This window comes from Homo sapiens, chromosome 4 (genome assembly GCF_000001405.40).
Source record: "Homo sapiens chromosome 4, GRCh38.p14 Primary Assembly".
In the NCBI taxonomy this organism is placed as follows: Eukaryota; Metazoa; Chordata; class Mammalia; order Primates; family Hominidae; genus Homo; species Homo sapiens.
In genome coordinates, this window is record NC_000004.12 from 19,079,244 (window position 1) to 19,088,669 (window position 9,426).

The 9,426-nt window shown below is 40.7% G+C and overlaps 1 annotated feature.

The window, feature by feature from the left end:
- Nucleotides 4,449-5,009: an enhancer, noted in NCBI's record as "NANOG-H3K27ac-H3K4me1 hESC enhancer chr4:19085315-19085875 (GRCh37/hg19 assembly coordinates)". NCBI's record gives its function as "activates a minimal SCP1, AML or CMV promoter by ChIP-STARR-seq in primed H9 embryonic stem cells {active_cell/tissue: H9 hESC(primed)}" and the evidence as "EXISTENCE:reporter gene assay evidence [ECO:0000049][PMID:30033119]".

Here is a 9,426-nt window from a genome sequence, read left to right on the forward strand (position 1 = left end):
CTGTTCCATTGATCTATATCTCTGTTTTGGTACCAGTACCATGCTGTTTTGGTTACTGTAGCCTTGTAGTATAGTTTGAAGTCAGGTAGTGTGATGCCTCCAGCTTTGTTCTTTTGGCTTAGGATTGACTTGGCAATGCGGGCTCTTTTTTGGTTCCATATGAACTTTAAAGTAGTTTTTTCCAATTCTGTGAAGAAAGTCATTGGTAGCTTGATGGGGATGGCATTGAATCTGTAAATTACCTTGGGCAGTATGGCCATTTTCACGATATTGATTCTTCCTACCCATGAGCATGGAATGTTCTTCCATTTGTTTGTGTCCTCTTTTATTTCCTTGAGCAGTGGTTTGTAGTTCTCCTTGAAGAGGTCCTTCACATCCCTTGTAAGTTGGATTCCTAAGTATTTTATTCTCTTTGAAGCAATTGTGAATGGGAGTTCACCCATGATTTGGCTCTCTGTTTGTCTGTTGTTGGTGTATAAGAATGCTTGTGATTTTTGTACATTGATTTTGTATCCTGAGACTTTGCTGAAGTTGCTTATCAGCTTAAGGAGATTTTGGGCTGAGATGATGGGGTTTTCTAGATAAACAATCATGTCGTCTGCAAACAGGGACAATTTGACTTCCTCTTTTCCTAATTGAATACCCTTTATTTCCTTCTCCTGCCTGATTGCCCTGGCCAGAACTTCCAACACTATGTTGAATAGGAGCGGTGAGAGAGGGCATCCCTGTCTTGTGCCAGTTTTCAAAGGGAATGCTTCCAGTTTTTGCCCATTCAGTATGATATTGGCTGTGGGTTTGTCATAGATAGCTCTTATTATTTTGAAATACGTCCCATCAATACCTAATTTATTGAGAGTTTTTAGCATGAAGGGTTGTTGAATTTTGTCAAAGGCTTTTTCTGCATCTATTGAGATAATCATGTGGTTTTTGTCTTTGGCTCTGTTTATATGCTGGATTACATTTATTGATTTGCGTATATTGAACCAGCCTTGCATCCCAGGGATGAAGCCCACTTGATCATGGTGGATAAGCTTTTTGATGTGCTGCTGGATTCGGTTTGCCAGTATTTTATTGAGGATTTTTGCATCAATGTTCATCAAGGATATTGGTCTAAAATTCTCTTTTTTGGTTGTGTCTCTGCCCGGCTTTGGTATCAGAATGATGCTGGCCTCATAAAATGAGTTAGGGAGGATTCCCTCTTTTTCTATTGATTGGAATAGTTTCAGAAGGAATGGTACCAGTTCCTCCTTGTACCTCTGGTAGAATTCGGCTGTGAATCCATCTGGTCCTGGACTCTTTTTGGTTGGTAAACTATTGATTATTGCCACAATTTCAGAGCCTGTTATTGGTCTATTCAGAGATTCAACTTCTTCCTGGTTTAGTCTTGGGAGAGTGTATGTGTCGAGGAATGTATCCATTTCTTCTAGATTTTCTAGTTTATTTGCATAGAGGTGTTTGTAGTATTCTCTGATGGTAGTTTGTATTTCTGTGGGATCGGTGGTGATATCCCCTTTATCATTTTTTATTGTGTCTATTTGATTCTTCTCTCTTTTTTTCTTTATTAGTCTTGCTAGCGGTCTATCAATTTTGTTGATCCTTTCAAAAAACCAGCTCCTGGATTCATTGATTTTTTGAAGGGTTTTTTGTGTCTCTATTTCCTTCAGTTCTGCTCTGATTTTAGTTATTTCTTGCCTTCTGCTAGCTTTTGAATGTGTTTGCTCTTGCTTTTCTAGTTCTTTTAATTGTGATGTTAGGGTGTCAATTTTGGATCTTTCCTGCTTTCTCTTGTAGGCATTTAGTGCTATAAATTTCCCTCTACACACTGCTTTGAATGCATCCCAGAGATTCTGGTATGTGGTGTCTTTGTTCTCGTTGGTTTCAAAGAACATCTTTATTTCTGCCTTCATTTCGTTATGTACCCAGTAGTCATTCAGGAGCAGGTTGTTCAGTTTCCATGTAGTTGAGCGGCTTTGAGTGAGATTCTTAATCCTGAGTTCTAGTTTGATTGCACTGTGGTCTGAGAGATAGTTTGTTATAATTTCTGTTCTTTTACATTTGCTGAGGAGAGCTTTACTTCCAACTATGTGGTCAATTTTGGAATAGGTGTGGTGTGGTGCTGAAAAAAATGTATATTCTGTTGATTTGGGGTGGAGAGTTCTGTAGATGTCTATTAGGTCTGCTTGGTGCAGAGCTGAGTTCAATTCCTGGGTATCCTTGTTGACTTTCTGTCTCGTTGATCTGTCTAATGTTGACAGTGGGGTGTTAAAGTCTCCCATTATTAATGTGTGGGAGTCTAAGTCTCTTTGTAGCTCACTGAGGACTTGCTTTATGAATCTGGGTGCTCCTGTATTGGGTGCATAAATATTTAGGATAGTTAGCTCCTCTTGTTGAATTGATCCCTTTACCATTATGTAATGGCCTTCTTTGTCTCTTTTGATCTTCGTTGGTTTGAAGTCTGTTTTATCAGAGACTAGGATTGCAACCCCTGCCTTTTTTTGTTTTCCATTTGCTTGGTAGATCTTCCTCCATCCTTTTATTTTGAGCCTATGTGTGTCTCTGCACGTGAGATGGGTTTCCTGAATACAGCACACTGATGGGTCTTGACTCTTTATCCAACTTGCCAGTCTGTGTCTTTTAATTGCAGAATTTAGTCCATTTATATTTAAAGTTAATATTGTTATGTGTGAATTTGATCCTGTCATTATGATGTTAGCTGGTGATTTTGCTCATTAGTTGATGCAGTTTCTTCCTAGTCTCGATGGTCTTTACATTTTGGCATGATTTTGCAGCGGCTGGTACCGGTTGTTCCTTTCCATGTTTAGTGATTCCTTCAGGAGCTCTTTTAGGGCAGGCCTGGTGGTGACAAAATCTCTCAGCATTTGCTTGTCTATAAAGTATTTTATTTCTCCTTCACTTATGAAGCTTAGTTTGGCTGGATATGAAATTCTGGGTTGAAAATTCTTTTCTTTAAGAATGTTGAATATTGGCCCCCACTCTCTTCTGGCTTGTAGGGTTTCTGCCGAGAGATCCGCTGTTAGTCTGATGGGCTTTCCTTTGAGGGTAACCTGACCTTTCTCTCTGGCTGCCCTTAACATTTTTTCCTTCATTTCAACTTTGGTGAATCTGACAAGTATGTGTCTTGGAGTTGCTCTTCTCGAGGAGTATCTTTGTGGCGTTCTCTGTATTTCCTGAATCTGAACGTTGGCCTGCCTTGCTAGATTGGGGAAGTTCTCCTGGATAATATCCTGCAGAGTGTTTTCCAACTTGGTTCCATTCTCCACATCACTTTCAGGTACACCAATCAGACGTAGATTTGGTCTTTTCACATAGTCCCATATTTCTTGGAGGCTTTGCTCATTTCTTTTTATTCTTTTTTCTCTAAACTTCCCTTCTCGCTTCATTTCATTCATTTCATCTTCCATTGCTGATACCCTTTCTTCCAGTTGATCGCATCGGCTCCTGAGGCTTCTGCATTCTTCACGTAGTTCTCGAGCCTTGGTTTTCAGCTCCATCAGCTCCTTTAAGCACTTCTCTGTATTGGTTATTCTAGTTATACATTCTTCTAAATTTTTTTCAAAGTTTTCAACTTCTTTGCCTTTGGTTTGAATGTCCTCCCGTAGCTCAGAGTAATTTGATCGTCTGAAGCCTTCTTCTCTCAGCTCGTCAAAATCATTCTCCATCCAGCTTTGTTCTGTTGCTAGTGAGGAACTGCGTTCCTTTGGAGGAGGAGAGGCGCTCTGCGTTTTAGAGTTTCCAGTTTTTCTGTTCTGTTTTTTCCCCATCTTTGTGGTTTTATCTACTTTTGGTCTTTGATGATGGTGATGTACAGATGGGTTTTCGGTGTAGATGTCCTTTCTGGTTGTTAGTTTTCCTTCTAACAGACAGGACCCTCAGCTGCAGGTCTGTTGGAATACCCTGCCGTGTGAGGTGTCAGTGTGCCCCTGCTGGGGGGTGCCTCCCAGTTAGGCTGCTCGGGGGTCAGGGGTCAGGGACCCACTTGAGGAGGCAGTCTGCCCGTTCTCAGATCTCCAGCTGCGTGCTGGGAGAACCACTGCTCTCTTCAAAGCTGTCAGACAGGGACACTTAAGTCTGCAGAGGTTATTGCTGTCTTTTTGTTTGTCTGTGCCCTGCCCCCAGAGGTGGAGCCTACAGAGGCAGGCAGGCCTCCTTGAGCTGTGGTGGGCTCCACCCAGTTCGAGCTTCCCGGCTGCTTTGTTTACCTAAGCAAGCCTGGGCAATGGCGGGCGCCCCTCCCCCAGCCTCGTTGCCGCCTTGCAGTTTGATCTCAGACTGCTGTGCTAGCAATCAGCGAGATTCCGTGGGCGTAGGACCCTCTGAGCCAGGTGTGGGATATAGTCTCGTGGTGCGCCGTTTCTTAAGCCGGTCTGAAAAGCGCAATATTCGGGTGGGAGTGACCCGATTTTCCAGGTACGTCCGTCACCCCTTTCTTTGACTCGGAAAGGGAACTCCCTGACCCCTTGCGCTTCCCAGGTGAGGCAATGCCTCGCCCTGCTTCGGCTTGCGCACGGTGCGCACACACACTGGCCTGCGCCCACTGTCTGGCACTCCCTATTGAGATGAACCCGGTACCTCAGATGGAAATGCAGAAATCACCCGTCTTCTGCGTCGCTCACGCTGGGAGCTGTAGACCGGAGCTGTTCCTATTCGGCCATCTTGGCTCCTCCCACTGATTTGCTTTATGTTACTGTAGATTAGTTTATATTTTCCAGATACACTGGTTTATTTTACTCAGCATAATTATTATGAGCTTCATTCTTGGTGTTGCATGTCCATTCCTTTTAATTACTGAGTATATTCTATATTAGTGGAGATCCATTTGAGGGTTTTACGCAATTGGATGAAATTCTTATTTTACATGTGTTAGGTCCTAAATGAGCTGAATCTGATTCTATCTTTAGGCTAATCTCCTACTACTCTTTGATCTTCTTTATAGAAGTATTAGAATATCTTTTGTTCCACAAACTATGTTGGTTAAAGGGCTCTTATCTTTCCATATGCCAATCACTATGCTTAGAACAAAAAACTCCCTGTTTATGTGATACATGCCTATTTATCGTTCTGAGCTCAGCATTTGAGTACCTTTTAAAATGCTTTCTCTATCTATGATCGAGATATTCTCTTCTATGTTGCCTCAGGATTGTACTGTCATCTCCTTTAATTGATTACACTCTATACTCATTATTTGTTGGCCCCATGTGCTTATTCCCTACTAGAATACGAGTTTTTTGAGATTCATACCATGTCATGGTTATTATTTTTTATAAACATTTAGCACAGTGCAATAATTACAATTGATATAAATATAATTTTGTTGAACTTGCATTGAGATTATAATTTGGTTGGAATGAATGAAATAGAAATCTTGGAATTGCTTCTTTTCAAGCCCTGGAATTAAATAGAAGTGACAACAAAGATGACTTTTAGTGAATCATATCAGTGTAATTACCAAACAGACGGAGGCTCTCTTTGGTTGTTCTCAGTTTAGGAGCGTGAAGGCAGAGGCTGGCCATGCACACATGGCAGACCCACAATCCTCCACAGTCATGAGAATCAATACTGGTGGATTGATGATACTCAGTTACTTATTTTTAATCATACGTGAATAGTTTATTTTCTTTAGATGTTGTTAGCTCAAACAAGATTATTTGAGTGACTCTCATGAAATAAGTACAGTCATGCACCTCAAGACAACATTTTGGTCAAGAATGGACCACATATATGAAGATGGTCCCATAAGATTATAATAGCATGTTTTTATTGTATTTTTTCTATGTTTAGATACACAAATACTTACCATTGTCTTACAGTTGTGTAGAGTATTCAGTACAGTAACATGCTGTGCAAGTTCATAGCCTAGAAGCAATAGGCTATACCCTATAGCTTTGGTGTATCATGATGGAATATACTATCTACATTTGTGTAAATATACCGTATGATGTGCACACAAAGACAAAATTGCCTAGCGATGCATTTTGCGGAACACAACTTCTTCATTAAGTGACGCATGACTATACCACAGTTTTTTAAACAGGTATTTTACCACATACTTAATCAATTAACAGTACACAGATACAACAAAGTAGTAATTTTTAAATGTGGTGGTTCTGCCCTAATAAGAAGCATTTGATAGCCAGGGGTATTTATTTATTTATTTGTTTAGGCCTGGTGATGACAACATTTACTTATTGTGGATAATGAATAGAGACAGTAAACATTCTACATTCTTGGGCCAGTCCTCTGTGAGGAAAAATGTTCCTGCTCCCAACCTTAATAATTGTGAAACACTGATATCAAATAATAAGGGAATAATTATGAGGACATGCTTAGAAAAATTATCTTGGTACTGATTCTTTTTCATTGCCAGGTTCTGCTTCCAATGTGTGTCTTCTTCGGGGCTCTGTGTAAATGCCCAATCCAAAGGCTAATGTCCTGGGCACTTTCTTGTACCAATAATGTTATTTGAAATGCAGAAAGTCTTCGAGGTCTCCATATGCAAATTCTTAAACCTCAGTTTTGATGGCATAACTTTCCTCAATAATAATACTTCCCTTCTTAAGCTATTTCTGCCTTTATTTGTAATTTCAAAAACACGTGAAGATGACAGAATTACCAAAGTCCTCTAATTCTGTGAAAATGCTGCCTGGGAATTTCTGTGCATTTCTTGCTTACAGGCCGCTGCAATGGATAGGGTTTCATGGTGCTCCAGAGACTTTTTTCTCAGGAAATAGAACTGCATTTTCTCAATTTAAAGATACTTTATACACAAACACACCACACATACCACACACACACACACACACACACACACACACACACACATACATTATTTATTTCAGGATTTTGTATTTACCTTTATGGGCTAGTAATTCCTTATCTGTGAATAGTAATAATGATAAAGCTATCATTAAATTTACATTTGTCCTAAAATGAATTGCATTTGAGAATTAGAGAAATGCGTTACATCGGGAATGAGTGTTGCCTATAGGAACATTCTATTTGACCTCTGTTTGACCTCATGACTTTGGACTTGAATGTCTGAGAACAGATGTCTAAAGCAATATCTGTGTTCATCTGTCCATCTGTCTGTCTGTATGTATGTTCAGGGGTTAGCTCGGTACCTGGTATGTATTAATACTAGACACTTCATAATCGATAACTACTATTATTAATTTCACCCATTTCTGGCCTCCACCTTCCAGCTTGTACACAAGTTGAGCACACTTACGTACATAAGCATAGAGCTTGGACTGATTGGCACTCTGGCAAACTCCCCCAGTGCTGTGTGTCTTTTTGCCCCTCTCCCAGTTTTGTCTCTGCCTGCTCTCTTAGATTGTTAATATCCACAGGGAACTCAGATGCCTGTGTCTAGTGCATGCAATAGAGGCAGTCTCCACAGAAACATTAGGATACAGAGCTGAAAAGGCCTCCCTTCCCCTTGACATCTTTTTCCTTTCCTCTCTTCAAGCCAACACACTGGTTGTACAAGTATAGATACATTTACATACTGACCGTTTCAGCAGTGACACTCGAAAAACAAAAGCAAACAAAAAACAGTGAGAGATTTGTGTGTACAATGCAGAAGGAAGTCAAGGAAGCCTTCAGCGTAGACATGGGTCCTCCTACTGTGATTTGTCCCCCCAGTGTTGCCTTGGGTAAACTGGCTTCTTTACTGCTGGTGTCACAACAAATTTATTTGCAGTCCAAATCCAGCCTGAAAAGTTAAGAGCCTGAACAAAAATTAAGTTGTGAATAATGAATTTTTTTTCCAATTTAAAGGACTAAATTTCAGTTTGTGTTTAAATATTAGGAGATCTGGCACTGATAATCTTATTTTGTCTTGGCAATGATCGCCTTTACTTACTAGCAACTGCCCTATTTTAATTACCCACAATTCCCATCAATATCCATTGTTATACATCAGGGCTGCTTCACTTATTTACATTATCATCTGTCTGCTCATGTAAATAGAAGGTAGCAGTAAATAGTCCAGATTAAAACATGTATTTGTAAAGGAAGTGTTTCTTAATTAGCAAGGTAACTCAGCTTTCTCTAGATTCAGTGCTCTCATTATTAATTCTAAAGAGCAATGTTTCTTGGGGTGTACCTCCAGTATACACTTGGTCAAAAGTTCCTCGGGTGCTTATTAAAATGATATTTCCTGGGTCTCAACCAGGACTAATAAATCAAAATATCTGAGAGTAAGGCCTAAGAATCTGAATGTTAAACTCACTCCTAAGATAACTGCACACTCAAATTTAAAGGCTGCTATCATCTAAAATCCTTTTAAAATTGACTCTCTTCCATTGCTCTATGGCTTCACCTTGCCCGCTGCCTAGAGAGAACCTATTTACCAAGACAGGAGAATTGCAATAGAGAAGAGTAATTCACACAGAGCTGGCTGTGTGAGAGACCAGAGTTTTACTATTAATCAAATCAGTCTCCCCGAAGCAAGCATTCCGGGATCAGAGTTTTTAAAGATAATTTGGGGGGTAGGGGCTTGGGAGGTGGGGAGTGTTCATTGATCAGGTTGGAGATGGAATCATAAGGGGTCGAAGTTAGGTTTTCTTAATGTGTTCTGTTTCTGGGTGCAATGGCAGAACTGATTGGGCCAGATTACTGGTCTGGGTGATGTCAACTGATCTATCGAGTGCAGGGTCTGCAACATATCTCAAGCACTAACCTTAGGTTTTACAATAGTGATGTTACCCCCAGGAGCATTTTGGGGAAGTTCAGACTCTTGGAGTCAGAGGCTGCAAGTCCCCTAAACTGTAATTTCTAATCTTGTGCGAATTTATTAGTCCCGCAAAGGTAGACTGGTCACCAGGCAAGAAAGGGGTCTTTTTGAGAAAAGGCTGTTATCAATTTTGTTTCAGAGTCTAACCATGAACTGAATTCCTTCCCAAAGTTAGTTCCCACCATATCCAGCACCACGGTATTCCAAACAGCATTGCCTCAGACCAAGGCACTCACTTTATGGCTAAAGAAGTTCAGCAGTGGGCCCATGCTTATGGTATTCACTGTGGTATTACCATGCTCCCCATCATCCTGAAGCAACTGGAGTGACAGAACGGTGGAATGGTCTTTTGAAGTCACAATTACAATGCCAACTAGGTGACAATACTTTGCAGGGCTGGGGGCAAAGTTCTCCAGAATGCTGTGTATGTTCTAAATCAGCATTCAAAATATGGTACTGTTTCTTCCGCAGCCAGGATTCATGGTCCAGGAGTCAAGGGGTGGATGTGGAAGTGGCATCACTCACCATCACCCCTAGTGACCCACTAGCAAGACTTTTGCTTCCTGTTCCCATGGCATTATGTTCTGCTGGCCCAGAGGTCTTAGTTCCAAAGGAAGGAACACTGCCACCAGAATACACAACAATGATTCCATTCAACTGGAAGTTATGAT